Here is a 20,903-nt window from a genome sequence, read left to right as displayed (position 1 = left end):
GTCATATGGAGAAGCTATCATATGGTGCATTACAAAATCCTTCATGACTGATTTGGAGACCTTAAAAAGCTTTATCTAGAGCAATATTTCCAGTTTGTGTAATAGGGTACAACTTCTGGTACTTAAGATAATTTTAGCCATAAATGCCCATAGAATTAAATAACATTGACTCAAATCTCTAATCTGCGTCTGGTTTTTAATTTAGAACATACATGTTTGGTGCTTTCATGTTTTTACCATGCCCTAAAACTCACTAGTTCACTCTTTAACATCAAGAGAGCAAGGTTCAAGCATGAAACCATCATAGTTAATGATACCTGTCTAGAGCTGAATTACTTTTTTCACATTATTTGTTTTTGTAGTTATTTCTATTACCACTTTTGTGGTAGTATTATAACATTTCTTTTGGAACATTGAATTGAATCATTTAAAGGGAAGTAATTTTAAGAAAAAGAGTAAGAAAATAATAAAGAATATGAAAAAACTCATAAAGGTGCTAAGAAAGTGAATGAAGTTTTGGACATACATTTCTGGAGATTAAACCACAGGCAGCTGCTACAGCCAAATTTGGCATTTCCTTTTGCCAGCATTTTTTTCTCCCTAGAAGGCTGCTAAAATCGACAAGAGTTTTTAGGACATTTTGATAGTTGGTAAATGACTCTTCTGAACTTATCAAATATATTTTACTTCAATCTTTATCACCCAGGAGGATAGGAAGAGTAGTATTTTCAAATGTTACAGAGTCTCACTAGACATAAGAAAAATGCCAAGAACATGGGCAATATTCCCAGATTTTAAAGTGACCCTCTATCTGAAAAACAAAAATCATAAATCCATATTTATTCAGCATTGAACACTACTGAGGTCACAAAAGAGCAAAAGTGTGTTTAGAAATAATAATTATATGTGAACAGACTGCAAACAAATTTAAGCCGAGAAATTTTATTTCAATATGAAATTTCAACAGTAAATCATATAATCAATATAAATTCAACACAGTTGTTTTACTCTTCTACTTTTAGCAGATGGTAATTCTATTTAAAATGATAGAATAATCCTAATATTTTGATGATTCTAGCTATTCAAGAATAAATTTACTTATATTTAGCATTTAATAAACATTTATTGAGGGCCTAAAATCAAGTACTGCATTAGTAGCTAAAGATACACAGATAAATGTTAATGCTATAAAAGTTATTTGAAAACTGATTAGTCTTATATGTTTTATGTAATGACTCTAAACTAACAAAATTTTAATTATACAAAGCACCATATCTCTTAGGTCTCAATAAAAGAAATTACGTATTGATCATAATATGAGATTACATCGATTGGTTTTCTCCTATTTATATCCTTGTTACTCTGTCAGGAAAGTAAATTTAATTGTTCTGGCATGAATTTGTCTTCAAAACCAGAAAAATCAGTTTACAAATGTTAACTCTGTTCTAATGGTAGTCTTCACATTTAGGAAACACTTTATTACTTAATACAGGTGATATCTCAGATTTAAGTATATTGAGGCTGCATTGAAGTACTTATTCCATAGCTTCAGATTTTATTTGTTCTGATTATCCTGCCATATTTGTAAAGCAAACAATTTATAGCCAAACTGTTTGGAATAATTTGTTATAGAACAAATTTATGATTATCCTCTGCTTGTCAAACTCATTATTGTGACTCAGCAAATTTGATTTGAGCTTTGTAAACAATGTTTAATGAAATAAAAAAAAATTAGGTAACTCAAATATCATCTAGGTATTGCCACCCTTTAATATAAAATATGTTGAGATTGAAGACTTATTCTATGCTCAAAAATCCAATGCCACCAATTTCTGCAAATCCCATGTGGTAGAGGGAGGATTAAGTTCTCACGCTCACTTTTCTTCCCAGCTCCCTGCATCTGTCAAATCTCATATTTCTTTGGATTCTTATGACTTTTTTTTAAATTCACATTAGCAACAACCAAAATGTAGTTCCCCTTCCTTCATGGATGACAAAAAAAATACAGTTAATTAAAATCTTGGTAGGTGATGGGAGGTTTATATCACAGTAATGCAAAGGGTGAGTTTTAGATATTTTTGTTCTTAAAAGTCCTTTGGATGCTTCATTTTTTCTTGACCTTTTTTCTCTTCTCTTACCCATACTCTTGGGGCAAAAAAAAAAGTATAACAAGTTTTGTTTTATTTTCCGCAGCAGAAAAATTCATTTATCTTCAGCTCTTTCTTTTACTCTCAGTTCTAGACATTCTTTTAAATTTCCAAAATTGCCTCTTGCAAGGGTACACCTGACCATGTGTACTTAGATAATTATCATTTCTGTCCTCATCTGTGTCTTGGAATTTGAGAAGGGATTCTGGAGTGGTTTGTTTTTCTAGTTAAAGTTGGCCAATGTTATACAACAGGTTACTACTTTTAAATAATGAAGCAAGTTTGAGTTGATTGAGAAGCAAAGATATGCTGTTTACTTCTTGATCTCCTTCTTTTTAAATATGAATTTCCTGATTTCTCCCACTGTCAGCAGAGCAGATACTCCCCAACCAGACTTTGAGCATATTCTGAAACTGTGTCTGTTGCCTATTACTAAATACAAAACTATGTTGTAATGTTCAGTGTAGGCTCATTCCTTCTCCAAAGGCTACATCTGTCCCACAACATGCAGAGTTATTTCTAAATGTGTTCACTTTAATTAACCCACCACAAGTAACTCTTTTGATGGCATCTTAATGACATAGCTCAAAATATTTTTAATTTGGAAACTATACCATATAAAAGCTAGTATAAAAAATCAAAAATCAGACAATCATGAATTCTTCTTTGTTCTTGGATAAATACATGATGGCCTCTTGCTGAGCATGTGGTTCAGAGCAGTTTTTCCACATCCAATGTGGAGAAACTGGGGGAACAGATTTGGAAAAGGAAAAGATATGTTTTTGTCCCAGCACTTAGAACTGGTATATCCTGGAACCAAAGAGCTATAAATCCTCTACTCTGTAGGTATTTGCTTATTTGTTTTTAATTAAAAAGTATGAGTCATCAATGTTTGAAGAAAGTCTCTGACTATTTGCAGGGAATGAATAAGAAAAGCTGTCAGATTATGGATTTGTCCTGTGATGCTATATGAAGACTTGAGTGAATTTAAATAAACTCTACTTCTACTGCTATACTAATTGAAGATCCACAGAGGAGTGGTCCCCCAACTCTTAAAATATAAATAACTCACTTATATGGAAAAAAGTTGTGAAACAACCCCCGTGTAAAATAATAATTGCATTCATCATTTGAGGAAACAAATAAAATGCTACTAAATATTTTGCAATTTCTAAAATTTCATACACTTTTAATCAGAATAGAAGTTACTGATTTTAAAATTAGTAGCATAGATGGGTAAATCATTTTATCCATATATAGACAATATTTAGTGTGAATATGGATTCAAAGATCCCTGGTGTAAACTCTGCAGTTCCCAGTAGCCCAAGGTCTAGAGCATGAGAGCACTTAATGTGGAGCCCACAGAACCATAACAGGTAAAATCTCTTTCTTCCGCCACATGAGCCCAATTTGCAAGTTTTCTTTTTTCTATTCTGCAATCTTTTTGTTTTACAACTATAATCACAGTTTCTTAGAAGGAATGGTGAAAGGATATTAGAAAAAGAGAATAATAAGTATAATTTATAAATTCTAGAAAAGTGGTCATCAAAGTTGACAAAATTCAGAGAATAAGATTATGAGTTAGGGAGGAGATTAAGTTTTCATTCAAAAGATTTTAGTGTCCTGAACTTACTAAATGGGTTGGAGATGGCCCCATTAACTAGTTAACTGACTGTATAGCGACAGTATTAGCAAGGAACATAACCTAATGGTAGAACTCTAAAATGTACTTTATATCATTGAGTTATAAACATGATAAATTCAAGTGTAACCCAGATGTTAGCTGTACTTCTTAACTTTTTATATGTTTTAATCTCTAGATCTGCACAAAAAGTCTATAAGGTAGATTTCTATGAGATTATAAACTGAGGCTAAAAAGGTTAAGCTGTTTGCATATGGTCACATAGCTGATAAGTGATGGGGCCTGGACTCAAATTGGGCAACATGGCCCCCAGACCGCGTTTTCTACTCCCTACACTACACCACCCCTTGCTTTTTTTCTGGTAATAAATTATTTTGATTTATTTAGTGTCTTCTCTTCCATTCGCAAAGGACATTGGATATATATATTAAAGAATAATATTCTGGGAAGTATGTTGATAGTTGTATTGGGATCCCTTTATATATGATGTGTTTTTTATCTATTGTTGCTTTCTGAATTTTTTATTCATCTTTAATGTTTTGGTAGTTTGATTGTGATGTGTCTTGGTGAACTCATATTTGGATCGAATTTGATTTAAGACATCTGCACTTCCTGTATCTGAATGTTAAAATTTTCCCCCAGATTAGGGAAGTTTTCAGCCATTACTTCTTTAAATATGCTGTCTCTTTTCTCTTTCTTTTCCTCTTTTGCTTTTCTCTTAAATTCCCATTATGTGTATGTTTGGTCTCTTAATGGTATCCCACAATTGCTACAGGCTTTTTTCATTCTTTTTTCTTTTTGCTCCTCTGATTGGACAATTTCAAATGTTCTATCTTTAAGCTCACTGATTCTTTGAGTCTGATGCTGGAGCTTTCTATTGCATTTTTCAGTTTAGTCATTGTATTCTTTATCTCAAGGATTTCTATTTGGTTTTCTAAGTTGTTTCTATTTCTTTGTCATACTTCTCATTTTGTTTGTGTATTGTATTGTTTCATTTAATGTTTGTGTATTAATTTCATTAATTTTTTATTCCTATTTTCTTATAGTTCATTGAACTTCTTCAAGAGAATTACTCTGATATTTTTCCTGTCATTTCTTAGATCTCCCTTTAGGGTTACTGTTGGGACTTTAATAGTTTCTTTTGGAGGTGTCATCATTTCCTAAGTCTTTGTAATCCTCGTATCCTTGCATTGGTGTCTGTACATGTGAGGAGACAGCTACTTTTTCTAAATTTCACAGGTGTTCTTTGGAAGGAATAAACTTTCACTATTTAGTCTAGCCTGTGATTCTAGATGAACCAGTTGGTAACAACCCTGGTCAGAGAGAGCCTGCTTTTGAGTTCTCTAGATAGCTGGCCTACTGCCTTTGCTATTAATTTGGGTGAGGCAGCTGGCTGGGCTCTGCTATGTGGCAAGACCACTGACTGACCTCTGTTATCAGGCTAAGCTGCTGGATAGGCACTGCAACCACCTCATGTTGGGCCAGGTTACAGGGTCTATTCCTTGGTCAAGTGGTACCACTATTTTATTTTAAGAGTTGGACAGGGTTGCTGAAGGGGCCCTAAGGTTAGGTGGAGTTGCTGATCAGGATGGATGGGACCAACTGCTTTGCTCTGTAGAATTGCACGGTTGAAGTTTGCCCACCTGCCTATGGGGAGCCTTGAGGCAGGGGGGCTTTTAGGTTTGGCTGAACACTGTTTAAATTCATAGGTATGGCAGATTTAGCCTCTGATCTTTGCTAAAATTTGCTGTGATGGTCATCTCCCTCCCTTGGCAAGAACTGGAGATGGACTTTGAGGCCATGCAGAGAGCTGTTAAATTCCCAAGTGTGGTGCAGCTAGTTCCTCGGCAAAGCAATAGTAATTAAAATAGTATAGTGCTAGCGTAAGAGTAGATTCATCAACCTATGGAACAGAATAGAGACATTAGTCTAGGCAAAGTTTGTTTTATATTTGATCCCCCACATGCAGGCAACAAAAGCTAAAACAGACAAATGGGATTACATAAAAATAAAAAGCCCTATACATCAAAGGAAACAACAGAATGAAGAATCAACCTATAGATAGGGAGAAAATATTTGCAAGCCATAGCTATCATAAAAGAGTATCCAGAATATATAAGAAACTCAAACAACTCTATAGAAAGAAAATAATTCCCAACTGGAAATGGGTAAGAGAACTAAAGAGACATTTCTCAGTAAAAACATATAAATGGCCAACAGATATATGAAAAAATGCTCAATGTCGTTAATCTTTAGGGAAAATGCAAATTAAAATCACAATGAGATACCACCTCATACCTGTTAGAATGGCTACTATAAAAAATATAAAAGAAGATATGTATTAGATAGGATGTAGAGAAAACGGAACCCTAGTACAGTCATGCAGTGTTTAATGATGGGGATACATTCTACGAAACGTCTTGTTAGGTCATTGTGTGAACATCATAAAGCGCACTTACACAACCTACTACACACCTAGGCCTTATGGTATAACCTCTTGCTCTTAGGCTAAAAACCGATGTAACATGTTATTGTATGGAATACAGTAGGCAATTTAAATACAATGGTAAGTATGCATGTATCTAAACATAGAAAAGGCACAGTAAAAACAGTACACCTGTATAGGGCACTTACCATGAATAGGGCTTACAGGACTGGAAGTTGCCCTGGGTGAGTCAGTGAGTGAGTGGCCAGTGAATGTGAAGGTCTAGGAATTTACTGCACAATGCTATAGACTGTATAAACACTGTATACTTGGGCTATACCAAGTTTATAAAAAATATTTTTTTCTATACTAATATGTTAAGCTTATCTTATGGTAATGTTTTTACCTTATGACATTTTTAATTTTTTTAACTTTTTGAGTCTTTTGTAATAACACTTAGCTTAAAACACAAACACATTGCACAGCTGTACAAAAATAGTTTCTTTTTTAATATTCTTAATCTATAAGCTTTTTTCTGTTTTTAATCTTTTTTTTTTTTTTTACTTTTTCAAGTTGTAAAAAATTAAGACACAAAAACACATATTAGCCTAGCCATACACAGGGCTATGATCATCAATATCACTCTCTTTCACCTCCACATCTTGTCCCACTGGAAGGTCTTCAAGGGCAATAACATTCATGGAGCTATCATCTCCTATAATAATGTCTTCTTCTGAAATACCTAATGAAGGAACTCTCTGAGGCTGCTTTCTAGTTAACCATCTTTTTTTAAATAAATAGATGTACACTCTAAAATAATGATAATAAAGTAATGCAGTTGTGTTTCAGTATCCAACGAGGTTGGTTCTAGGACACCTGCAGGTACTGAAATCTAGGCATGCTCAAGTCCCACAGTCGGCCTTGTGGAGCCCACAGATATGAAAAGCTGGTCTTCCGTATCCACAGGTTTTGTATCCCAGAAATACCGCATTTGGTTGAATTTGTAGGTGCAGATATAGAGGGTTGACTGTATGGTATATACATAAACCAGTAACATAGTCATTTATTATCATTATCAGATATTATATACTGTACATAATTATATATGCTATACTTGAACATGACTGGCAGCACAGGTTTTTTTATACTAGCATCACCACAAACATGTCAGTAATGCATTGTACTGCAACATTACAACAGCTATGATGTCATTAGACAACAGGAATTTTTCAGCTCCTTTATCATCTTGCTCTTGCATATGTGGTCTGTCACTGACTGAAATGGTGTTATGTGTCACATGACTCCACACTGCTGCTGTGAATCTAAATTACTACCATCATTGTGGAAAACTGTATGGAGGTTCCTCAAAAAATTAAAAATAGAATTACCATAAGATCATATACCCTAATTTGTTACATTTATTTTCATAATGATTAGGAATAGCATAAGGGAAAAATGAACTCTTTAAAGTCATCAGAGTACTAAAGTAGTAGCATGGGAATACTGCAACCACAAACAGCATAATTTCATATTACAGTTCTAAACCTATAGCCAATGTAGAGAAAGAGAACATGGAAGCTGAGACTAGATCACCTGAATTTGAACAAGGCTCTAACACTTTCTGACTGCATCTTCAAAAGTCAAAATTGGTTACCAGGTTTCTCCATCTATAAAATGGAGATACAAGTAGTGCCTGTTCAACTGTTTCACAAAATTGTTATTAGAATCAAATAATGTAAATAAAAGTAATTATTGTTATATGTGCTTGTTTTCTTGGAATGCCAGTCATTTAAGTTACATTTTCTGTAACTTAAAACAACCTTTCAGGGCAAAAAAAATTCTCTCTGATTTTTTAGAAGGTAAAAATAACTTTTAAAATTTTACCCCTTTATAACTAGTCTTTCAGTTGATACAAACTAAGGAGTATTTTAAATCAACTAAATAGTTTTTCTTTACATTTAGAGAAAAGAAAAATAAGAGTAGATAATATGAAAAGCAAGACATCTCAGACTCAGTCAAATATCATGTTCTAGCTTCAAGTGCAATACTGTAGACTATTTTTAGAAACTCAGTTTTCACTAATTATAGGCATAACATACACATACTACACTTTAAAAGGGAATTAGCTAACGTATTGAATATGGGCTCTGTTTATTCAGGTAGGAATTGATTTATCTATAAAAAGATTTCATCTTATTATACTTGCTCTTCTATGGTGAAAAGAAAATTCCAAAGCAAAGTATTCCAAATGTCTGTTTCAAATTTTACCTTTAACATTTTCTCTAGTTCTGGGTAGATCAACACACTAAAGGGAAATACATTTAATCCAGGCAACATCACCAAATTGTAAATGAATGTAGTTATCTTTGTCCCCTAAAATACACAATTCCCTTTTGGGCACAGATTTCTCCCAGGTAAGAAGTTAATAACTCCATAGACCAATTATGTAGAACTCCTGACATACAAGCTTCCCCTTGATATGTATAAATGCAAGTTATTCTTTATTATTTGTCATGATGGATATTTACATTGTAACTGAACCTTAGATGTAATACAGTTTCACAGTTGAGGAGACATTGCTCAATAGTCACTTTTTATAGATGAAAAAATGGAGGCCCAGCAAGGTAAAGTGGCTCACACAGTTACACAGTTAGCTAATGTCAGAGTTGCCAGGTTTGTAATTTTCTTCCATCATGCCATTTCATGTGTGCAAGTCACTATACTAAACTAATGTGATCTGCTAGTAAAAAGTGTCCAGTGAGACTCTCCTTGTCTCCAAAGAAATGCTCAGGAGAGCCAGTACTTTACAAATTAAGATTGTAAGTGGCTACCTTTGAAGTTCAGAGGAAAGCTGTATTAGTCCATTCTATACTGCTATGAAGAAGTACCCAAGACTCAGTAATTTATAAAGAAAAGAGGTTTAATGGACTCACCGTTCTGCACTGCTGGAAATGCCTCAGGAAACTTACAATCACAGTGGAAGGTGAAGGAGAAGCAAACTCATGTCTTACATGACGGCAGGTGGGAGAGCATGTGTGCAAGTGCACAGGAAATACCCTTTATAAAACCATCAGATTTCATGAGACTCACTCACTGTCATGAAAACAGCATGGGGAAAACTGTCCCCATGATTCAGCTATCTCCATCTGGTCTCTCCCTTGACACATGGGGATTATGGAGATCACAATTCAAGATGAGATTTGGGTGGGGACACAACTCCTAACTCTATCAAAAGCCGAAGATTTAATTCAAGAGATAATAGGAACTGCATCCTCTCCTACTTTCCCCTCCTCTATGTGGAGCCCAGAAAAGGGACAAAGCAGTGCTGCTCCCCTCAGGACTGAGAGGGCACCCAAAGTGATCCCTTGTCTGAAGTCATGAGATGGATCCAAGAGACTTGATTGCTTTTGTTGCTCCCTACAAGGATGTGCTGAGCTCCAGCATCTTACTTCCTTGGAAGGTAACTTCCTTATAAGGATTTGTTGTTGCTTACAGGGATGTGCTGAGCCCCAGCATCTTACTTCGTTGGAAGGTAGTTTTTGAGCTGCAGAACCATAGTTCCTTTCTAGATTCAGAGAACTGTATGGAGGAAGAAAGGGATCTCAGGACAAGTGTCTGAAGGCCAAGGAGCATTGCCAAGATATTCCTTTTTCCTCCCACTCCTACATTTATAAATATTAAATGTAACCTTTGCCTTTTTTACCTCAGGATTTGAAATTCCTCAACCAAACTGGCTATAATATATAAAATGACTCCTTATACTAAAGTCCACAATCTAAAAATATCTCATTACTATGGAACATGATCTTTGAAGAATTATCCATTTGTGAAGGAAAAATAACTGCATGGCCCCGTACTTTTGAACAAGACACCTGGGTGAGTGTAGGCAATTTACCTTGTACACCTCCATCCATTTGTCAGCCAGGACATCTCAGGTTCTTGGGTCCATTTTGCAGATATTGTTGTTTTCTGTTTAACAAACTCACCACTGGAATGCTGTCTTCCTGTTCTCCCCAGAGCGGCCAGGTGGCTGAGACACCTGTCCAATCTCAGAGCCTGCCAGGCTTGGCACTCCCTCCCCACCTCACAGATGGCTGGCAACCTGAGGAGATTCCTCTTTCAGGTGCAGCTTTCTCCCACTTATCTAAATATTTTTCTCTCTGCGAGAGATGAGATTTTCTTACTTATCTTCCAAAGTCATTTCATATAGGAAATTTAAACACTCTCAGAACTGTTGTGCTTGCTACAATACTTTTTAGCTTTAATTGAAAATGTACTTTAAATTTAAAAGCTTCTTTTACAAGAGTTGCCCCTAGCTCTGATGTTTTCATTGTAAATGGGATTTCCCTGATTTCCCCTCCCAAAATATTAGGCTTATTAATGTGTAACATTGTCAATGTCCCTTTTTGGACCTCCTATTATTGGCACTATTGGTTTTCCTCTTCTATTTGAATATAAACTTTTTTCTTTCCCTGTTGTGTTCAGTTATCTGGCTTTTCTTGAAAAATTTTCCTCCAAGAAAATAATTTCTGATTATGCCAGACACGTAGAGAGACATGACCTCACTTTGATTTCACTTAATATTGTGTAGAACCAGCTATGTATAGTACTAATTATATAACACCATTTTTATATGGCACAACTGCAAGCATAATCTTCTAGTTGTTTCACATGTATTTATAGCTTAAGCATCAGAAAAAAACTTTTAAGTTACTCTAGGAAAAACACACATTTTAAAATTGTGCTTAACACCTGTTGAAATTGATGCTGAATAAATATTTATTGAGGCAAATGACTCTTGGCTAATGAGTTACTTATACATTTTTATATGATATCTTACAATTTTTGGAGGAAGGCAAACAGAAGAAATTATCCAGGTTGCATCATCACATAATAATTTTTTTCTTTTAACTGAAAAAATTTGCTGCATTTAATGTGGTTGGCCATGGATCAAAGTGACCTCTCCCATATCAAAAGAGAAGGAGCACCATTAGTGTACAACCGTGTTAATATGAAATTAATAATCAAAAAGAAGTTGGTGCCAGGTCTTTTATGAAGACTATTTGATGCAAATATGGAAACAGTACTTTATTTTATTTGTATCTATTTTTGTATATTTTATTATATTTTTATGTATATATTTTATATATCTCTTTAATATGTGAGAAAGACAGAAATTTTCAACTTACAGTTCATTAATGGTCATTTGCTGCCATAGAAAGTATACAATAAGAATTATAATGTTAGCAATTACTGAAAAATTACAATGAAAAGGGACCCTCCTACCATTTATAAGTCCCAATTTATGCATTGCCATTACATGCAAACTTAAGAAGTACATTTTTGTTCATGATATACTGTGATACACCAGAGAATAAAAATGCACAAAATCATAACTGAAAAACTGGCAATTATTTTATTTTAAGATAAAATTTTCAAAAAATTGTAAAACACTGAGTTGCTGGGAATAAATACAAGGTAGCAATGCATGAAGACCATATAAATTTGTAGAAATAAGACATTGTAAGTTGTTAAGAATTAAAATTGTTTTAATATCAATTCCATAAATTAGTTGGTCTAGGTTATGACATTATTACCTAATAATAGGGCATTTGACATTTATAAGACCACCTGGTAATTAGCATTTTGCATGTACCGTAATTATATATTTTTGAAGAAATCATTTTCTTTAAGAGTTTAAACCTTCCTTCCAAAATTTTGTTTATGGAGCACACTGGCAAGTAAATATGTTCTCAGAGATAATTCAGAGGGCAAGTGCATTCCATATACCCAAGTAGTATAATTAGAAACAAAAACAGATTTTTGTATATCATGTAATCAAGAGTACTGAAATAGAAATAAAAGAAACTTTTTTACTAATTGGTGCTATGATCTTCTGAAACTACCCTAAAACTCATAACTTTTCTAAGCTAGAAAATGCAAAGATTATATTTCATTAGGATACCAAAAAATTTATTTCCCGATCTCAAATCATCCTGGAATTTTAAGTTACTGTCTTCAATGTTTATGTTGATCTAGAAGAAGCCAGATCTACTTTCTTTAGTAGTGGATTTCTACTGGACTTTAGGTGTAGACTTAGTAAAGGAGAGGTGATCCGCCGTCCCAAAGAGGAAAGATAGCTGGAGAGAGCACTACTCATTATAAGAATGGATAAAAACTCTGACTTTAGCCAGTCATGGTGCACACCTGTAATCCTAGCTACTCAGGAGGCATAGGTGAGATGATATCTTGAGCGCAGGAGTTCAAGGCCAGTCTGAGAAAAATAGCAAGACCCTGTCCCTTTAAACAAAAACCTTTTAGTGACTATTTGACAATTATCTAAAAATATAATTACAAAGATTAGACATGCTTTGTAATTACAAAGAGTAGATGACTTTATCATTTGAAAACAGAGAAAATATATTTAGTTTCCAACTATAAGCTGAATTCTCAAAGATAAAAAACAAAGCAAGTTCACATTAAAGACCCTATATGTGCACATTTGGGAATTTCCTATATTGAACTTCAGAGAATACAGAACTATTTCAGAATCTATGGAAAGACCTCAGCAAAAATCTATCATAGAATTTTTATAATTAGAATAGTTATTTTCTTAATATTCAGATAATGCTTCATCCTTTGTAGTACAGGAAACTCGTATCACAGTATCCCTTGAGCTCTCTAAGTCTGGATATATGGGGACAGGGTAGAATCAGGACAAAATACCATCTGTTTCTCTTACAACATCCCAAGAGCAGCGCTATCTGCTTTGGCACAAGTAAAGTCATGAGGCTCAATTTGCCTTGTTAAATTTATCTTTAATCATTTTGACATACAGAGGAAAAAAATAGTATCTCACCATGTCCTGTGAAAAGGAGATACTTTAGAATAAGCTATTCCTCTCAATGGTTTATTACAAAATCAAATAAGACCTAGAAGGAATTTACAGATAATACAGTAAAAGCATATCTGGTGTTACTTGCATCATGGTCTACAAAACCTTCAACCATGGTAGTTAGAGGAAATAATTCTTTTCCACCACATGGTAAGACAAAGTTTCCAGTTGCAAAATTTTTCTAAATGAAAAACTTTTTTTTGCATTTTTCAGATCTAAATAGTGTTATCCAGTGGGAAATTTCCTTTGAAGCTTGAAGTCTAATATGGAAACATTTTATGTGTTCGTATGTATACATACACATGTATATATGTGGCACTTGAAATGTTTGGTTTTTTTCAAGAAAAAAATAGTGAACTATTTTGTCTATTTCCTCATTGTAGTTACATAAGAGCAAAACATGTGTGTGCCTAGTCACTATCACACCCTGTCAAAAGCAGAGAGCAGCTGGAGCTGAGGTATGTAGCTTTGCATAACACTACCTTCTTATGGCCAGATGTGTGATGGTTAAGAATATATTATCTGAAGTCAAGGCTGTCTGAATTTAAATACCAACTATATCACTTAACAGTGCATAGTGTTGGCAAACTGTTTACCCTTTTTGAGCCTCAGTGTGCTTATCCATAAAATGATGATCATAAGAATATGAGCCTCTTTGTGTCTTTAAATTAGATAACCCACAGAAAGTATTTACATTGAGCCTGGAATATGGCACACTCAGTACTTTTAGGAGTTGTCAGCCCTTGCCAAAAGAGGGCATGCTGTTTGTTAAACAACCCAAAGAACTAATAATAGAGATGTTAAAGAGTACTAATTAATTAAAGTTTGACTCAGGGGAAATCAGGGGCCAAATATGTTTAAGGATGTTGAGGAGGAAAAGCCTTACAGTACATCTCAATCTTACTGCACCAGTGGTTAGAAATTCACTTAATTGTAGTTTTCATACAGTCATTTTTTGGATGTGAACTCATTGATGTCACATGATGACTTCAAAAGGGCAGAGGACATTAATAAATATAAAAATGAAGGCTTGCAGCTTGATCCAACTGGTGTCTTCTCATTCTCTGCCCCATGCATTTTCCCATTGTCTTTCCTAGGGTGGAATTTCTGTTTGGTCACTTTCCATGGCTCTCCAGTGACTTGATAAAATCTTAAATCTTGGTCTGGGTGTTCATGGTCCTCTACAGTTCGCCTTCAGTATTTTCCCAGATCATGCGCACTATGTTCCTTCATAGCACACTGCAATCCAGCTAGACAGAACTGTTTGCAGTACTCTGAAATACCTTTCACTTCTCCACTCCAGAGCTCTGCTCATGCCCTTTCCTCTCCCTGCATGGATATATTATTACTCTTCCAGCCCTAGCTCCTAGCATGAAGTATTCATTATTCATGCCAGCAGAGTAGTCTTATTTTATCTTATAAAGTCTTTTCCAATTTATTGTTTGTCCAGCAGCTTTCAAATTTTTAACTAGAATCACATTAAGAAATGTATTTTGCATTGGCACACATTTCGTGCAGACTTACACACAACACACACACACACACCTATACCAAAGCTTCATGAAACAATACTTACCCTATTATTTGCAATACCACTCTCATATTGTTTCTTTTCTTTACCAACTTGGAAAAAGCTCTGACTGTAATCTACTACAGAGATTTAATTATTCTTTAATTGTATCACAACCTGCAGTATGAAAAACACTGGTTTATACAACCCATATATGATATACATTATTATTTATTGTGCATAGGCATTATATTTCCTACCAGACTGAAAGTAATGTTTGATATCATGTGATAAATCATAGAGTCTTTTATTGTATCTAATCATGATTTTTACATAAGTAGTTGCTCAATAAATATTGAGGGAGAAAACGAGAGAAGGAAAGGAAGGGAAAGAAGGAAGGAGGAAGGAAGAGAAAGAAGGAAAGAGGGAGGAAAGAAGGAAGGGAGGAAGGGAAGAAGGAAGGAAGGAAGAAAGGAAGGAAGGAAGGAAAACATCTCTAAAGACGTTGATTATGCTCAGAAATTAAGAATGTTACTATTTAGGAAGTCCATAGGTGAGGATCATTCAGGCTATTTATAGGTGAATTTTCCTGTCTAAGTGGTATTTATTTTGTAATTTCTTCAACCTCAATATGAAATTTAAAATTAGTGTTACATCATAGAAGTTAAGGCTAAAACAAAAATAGCCAGAACAAAATGACTAATGGAGAAAAGATAAGCTTCTAGAGGCTGCATTCCTGCTCCCTGCTGAATATTGTGGGGTAGGGAGGTAAGACCAAGGGTGTGAAGTGCACCTCCAGAGGTGAAAAAAGCTTTTGACTTGATTTCCATAAAGCCTGTGAAAATGCAGTTCTATCATTTCTGTATGTGCTGAACACTTTTCTCTATGTGCTGAATACATCAAGCAATTTCTATGTGCTATCTATAAAGAGTCAGTGCTAAGAACTAACACTTCCAAGCATCTCAAGACTATAAAATTATACAGCACATATTCTCTATGTCATGACATTTGAGATATTAGTTTCACTGACATGCTAGATTATTGGTTTTTCTCAGATTCAAAAGGAACATTTCAAATGTAATTTAAATTTGAGAAGTCATACTATTGACATACATTTACTATAATAACATACCCAGTTTGACTGGGATTTGAATATGCCTGTATTATTCAAAGTCCATCCTCTTAACTAACATGGTATATATACTCTATCCAGACCAAGTAACAACAAAAAACAATGCTTTCCATAGACGTGAATATTTTTTTCCAAATTCTCTTATACACTTGCTCGCTGTATTTTGATTTTTAACATAAAACTGTATTTCCAGAGATGAAAACAACAAAATACAGGACTAAAAATATTTTATAAATGCTAATAAATTACAATAATTTTATGTGAAGTAAATCTTTTCATAGAACACTGAGTTAAATCTTACATACTTCACTTTGAAAAATAATAATGAAATGATGATTTTGCCAACTCTGGTTGTTACAGAAGACTGATTTCATCATTTGTTTCAATAGAAGTTTTAAGAATCCTTATTTAAAAGAAATATATAATATGGATCAAAATGTATTGCCTTCATTTCTGTGCCTTTGCCTGCCCAATTAATGTTAAAATTTAGAGAAATAAACAATTAAAAAATGTGGATTTATGGTGGCCCTATTACTTTTAAGTATGTTGCAGTTGTTGAATTTCATTAAAGATTATTGTCTTTCTTTGGAACTTATCTTTGTGTGTATATATATGTGTGTGTATATATATACACATATATGTATATGTATATATGTATACTCTTGTCTTTATTAATTATAATGTTTTATATTTTATACTTTATATAGTACACATTTATATAGAGTGCTTTATATCAAGAAGACATATACTAATTTTGACATTTTACTACTTAATAACTTTAATGTGATGTAAAAATATTTAGTGAAACATCTACTGCCCAGAGAGTGCCCATTTAAGCATTTCATCTGGCAAGGTTAGTTTCGTTGGATTAAAAATATTATTAAATTTCAGATTTATACATTTATTCCTCATTAGTTTTCTCAGAAATTATATTGCTCTGAAACCACAAACTGCTCCTACCAGCCATCTTGAAAATTCATGCCACTGGGGAGAAGTAGATGCAGTTAATGAATAAATGCTGAGCTAAGGATAAATTGATTACAACTGGAAAATTGGTTGCAAATTCACATTCTACTGACCAGTACACTTGTTTAAATATACTAGTCTATTAATTGGCAAACTATATGTAAATGTTAATGCAACTACTTTACTTTTTTCAGGTGTTTTAGAGGCAGCTAATAATTCACTTGTTGTTACTACAACAAAACCATCTATAACAACACCAAACACAGAATCATTACAGAAAAATGTTGTCACACCAACAACTGGAACAACTCCTAAAGGTAGGATTAACTGTTAGTAAATTTAGTTTAACTTTAACAAATAAAATTAGTAGTATGTATATACATCAGTATGAAAAAATAATTCGGGATCTTATATCTGATTGTTATAAAGGTCAGTGCTATTTCACGATTTTGAAATTATGTGTTATTTGGGGTTCCATACAAAACCCTGAGATCTCAGTGGGCCGCTTTGTTGATATTCTTTGGGATCACAACCTGTTTGAGAATGATTCTATTGTGAATGTTACATACACAAAGTTTATTTTTAGAGAAGAAAGAAATTGCCATGTCCTAAGTCATAAAATATCTTTCTAAATATTCCAGTTCTCCACCTAAGCAGCACAGCCAACATGGTGAAACTGTATTAATAACAGATTGGTTTTGTTGGTTGCATTCTGTTGATAATAGATTTAACTTGTAGGTTTCAGTAGCAATGTAATCATTATTGTTGCTGGACTGAGTGACAACTATATCTAGCTAGGTATTAAAGGAGATTACTTTACCATCCACAAAAATGTTAAAAGCCATTAGAATACTTCCATTAAAAAAAACAAGAGATTATCAATGCAATGCATACTGCATCTGCCCATCTTGCAACACACAAAAAATAAGGCATATCACACAGGTCCTGTAATCAATGGAAAACAGATTTGTGGATTGTCTATGGACAAAAACTCTGGTTAGAATGCTAAGGTCATAGAAAGACCCCAGAAAATCATATATCTTGATGAATGGATAACTGAAATTCTTATGCTGTCTTTTTTACCTCTTTCTATTCCCCCCTTAATTTTCAGTCTAAGACTAGGGTCAAACATATGCAGAAGACCAATGAAAGCTAGTTCGCTGGGCTTGAATAGGGTGGTGATTCTCAGAGACAAAGAGTACTATGATCATAGTCCATTATTTCTGCATTGTTTGATTATAAGATGAAACCAAACCATTTTTAGCAACTTTACTACTTGGGGCCCTCCATAGCAGAACACTGAAGCATCCTTCTTTGAAGCAAGTGCATAGAATACTTGAGGTTACATACATACACCCACACATACACACACACACTCCTTTTTTGGGACACTTTCACTGATTTATATTACCCATTTAATATAAACTACACTGTTGTCTGTGTCCTTCAGTAGTTATGCACTTGAGTGTTAAATTATTCATATACAATTATAAAGAATGTAATGGGTCAGAGAAGTTTTACTTTTTATCAATTTTTATTATAAAAATAGACAGCTATATCCGAAAGTAGAGAATACTGTAATTAATCTCCATATGTCCATCTCCCCAAATCACTCTTTATCTAGATTTTATCACATTTGCTTCATTTTTCTTTTTATTTCCCCTTCCTGCCTTCTTTCTGTTTCACTCTCTCTCTTAATTTGGTTGTCAAGGTACTTTGAAGGGAACCCAGACTTCATGCCAGTTTACTTCTATACATTAAATATGCATCTCAAAAAATATAGACAATCACAAAGCTACCATGCCATCATCAAATCCTCCAAATAAATAACAATACTTTAGTATCATCTGATATTTATTTTGAGAATTTTAAGGGTTAAAATCTCGAAACATAAATCTAGCAGTGGGAGGGAAATTAAAGGAAGGAGGTTAGTCTATTCTAGGGTCTCTAATGAGAGCTACTGAGAGAGCGAGGTGGAAGAGAGATAAAGCAGGAAAGGCAGGCTCTCAGGTCCTCAGCTGCTTGGATCCAGAGTGGGAAACAGAAATTCTGGCACAGTGGTAGGGCTGAGAAAGCCGTTAGGCAAATTGGGGTCCGTGGTGCTTATAGGAGAATGAGGGAACAACATTGGACAAAGACAACAGAGAAAATAACTCCTTTTTGTCTGGCTTACTTGATCACCACTGTGTATTAAGGGTTAGATGAGTCAGACTAAGTACACTTAATATGCCCATCTTCCAAAGAGCAACGCAATTAGTATACAGTAATAAAGGAGATGGAGAATTTATCTTAAGAATTATCATGTTCTAGGGATTGTGTATCAGTAAATTTGACTTACTAATTTCAGGACTCTGAGGGGCTTAAATTTGGAGGAGTTTTATACACTGTCCCATTCTCCAAAATAATAATTTTTAAAATTACTCAATAATACAAAAAAAAAGGTATCTGTAGTGAAGAAGTCCCTTATTCCCTCTTTCTCATGTCCAGTATGGTCCTCTTAGCCACGATGAAAGTATTTACCAAAAAAACACAACATGGAAAAGCATCTTTGTTTTCATTTTAAGGCTTCCTAATCAGAATTCTTTTGTTTAAAGGTCAAAAGATCATTGGTCTAGTAGTGCTTATGTCTTTCTAAATCACATACAATTTATTTTTCTTGCCAATGGCAGAAATTCTATCATCAAAAAAGTGGAAAATGTGCAACTGAGATGAGAATTCTTCTTGCAGCAACATAATCACTGAAGTGGCAGACGTGATTGATAGAGCTTCGCCTGGAGCAGGGCTTGCTCTCAGAGATTCACCCAATTAGAGAAATGGGACTTGACCTCTTCCTAGATGTACATCAAGTGCAATGCACATTTTGTGCAAGGCCAAAAGGCTGGAGTTAAAAATCAACATTTGACAGATGTTGAATATCCCTATCATAAAATGAACTTCTAGGATAAAAAAGAAACTTGAAATTTAATTTTTTTAAGTTAAAAAGTTGATTATTATTCAGCTTCATTTTAAAAACATTGAATAGTCTAGTATTTTTCAATACTAGAGTTGAATTATAATGCAGGAATAAAAGTTTCTCAACAGTGATACTAACAGTTTCTGATAATAAAATATTTAGTACCAGAAATTTCAGCTGAAGTCAGTAAAGGAGCCTGATGCTTTTGGCCACCTATCTCACACAGGGTGCTAAATATGGTGATGTTTCCATTGTACATCCTCTATGTAGAAACTAACTAGATACAACTATAAAGAACAAAATTTTAAAAACATTCTTGGAAATTTCTTGTATGATTAGTCAGAAAAAAATGAGTTTGGGTACCCCATTTTTCTCTGTAGTCTTTCTCCTTTTATTCATTGTCTTTCTGTTCCCTGTTATATTTGAATAGAAAATGAAGTGCCTGGGATATCTTTGTACATGATTTTTTGGTTTCTCCTTTTCATAGAATTTTGAAGTGGCAAAGTTGATATTTTGCTTTTACTTTATCATCACAAAATATGAAATGTTTACAAATTAGGCATTTCTTTGAAACAGTTGTAGCCTAAATAGAATTCAACATGTTTCTCAAAGATTGTTTTGGAAAATGGCATGAATGAATGCTAGTTTAAGAAACAATTTTGCAGAGAATAAAATTATGATATCTTAATGATTTAATCTATTATAAACATTTATTGACTCAAAATAATATAATATCTTTAAAAATAAATAGCTTTTTGCCCTAATCACACAATATGCCCATGCAACAAACCTGCAAATAAAATTGTTAAAAAAGGAAGGAACAAAGAAGAGGGGCCGGGTGCTGCGGCTCACACCTGTAATCTCAGCACTTTGGGTGGTTGAAATTGGGGGATCACTTGAGGCCAGAAGTCTGATTCTGCAGTGAGGTATGCTCATACCACTGGACTCCAGCCTGGGTGACAGAGCAAGACCTTGTCAAGCAAGAAGGAGAGAAGAAAAAGGGGAAGGAAAGAAGGAAGGAAAAAAGGAAGGAAGGAAAGAAAGAAGGAAGGAAGGGAGGGAGGGATGGAGGGAGAAAGGAAGGAAGGAAGAAGGGAGGGAGGGAGGGAGGGAGGGAGAAAGACCATTACAGAGAGTTGGAGAGTAGGTATCAAACTGATGAGTCATGTTGACTACTTAGGGCAGATTTGCCCCTTGGTTGATTTTCATATGTTATATGAGTGCTTCCTTAGT

The 20,903-nt window shown here is 34.2% G+C and overlaps 1 protein-coding gene and 1 long non-coding RNA gene across 5 annotated transcripts in view; one reads left to right on the top strand and one right to left on the bottom strand.

Annotated features, from left to right (window-relative positions):
• Window positions 1-20,903, top strand: part of EMCN (endomucin) — a 122,682-nt gene that overhangs the window by 21,072 nt on the left and 80,707 nt on the right. For all 4 annotated transcript variants that reach the window (NM_001159694.2, NM_016242.4, XM_011532024.4 and 1 more), the window contains exon 2: window positions 16,912-17,034. In NM_001159694.2, coding sequence (NP_001153166.1) covers window positions 16,912-17,034 — 123 coding nt within the window. The remainder of the gene's footprint in view (window positions 1-16,911; window positions 17,035-20,903) is intronic.
• The window catches only part of LOC124900740 (uncharacterized), an 89,972-nt gene that overhangs the window by 14,392 nt on the left and 54,677 nt on the right, over window positions 1-20,903 (bottom strand). The window lies entirely within an intron of this gene.

Source organism: Homo sapiens, chromosome 4 (assembly GCF_000001405.40).
Source record: "Homo sapiens chromosome 4, GRCh38.p14 Primary Assembly".
NCBI classification, from domain to species: Eukaryota; Metazoa; Chordata; class Mammalia; order Primates; family Hominidae; genus Homo; species Homo sapiens.
Note: the sequence above shows the minus strand (reverse complement) of the source record. Positions and strands in the feature narration are given on the sequence as shown.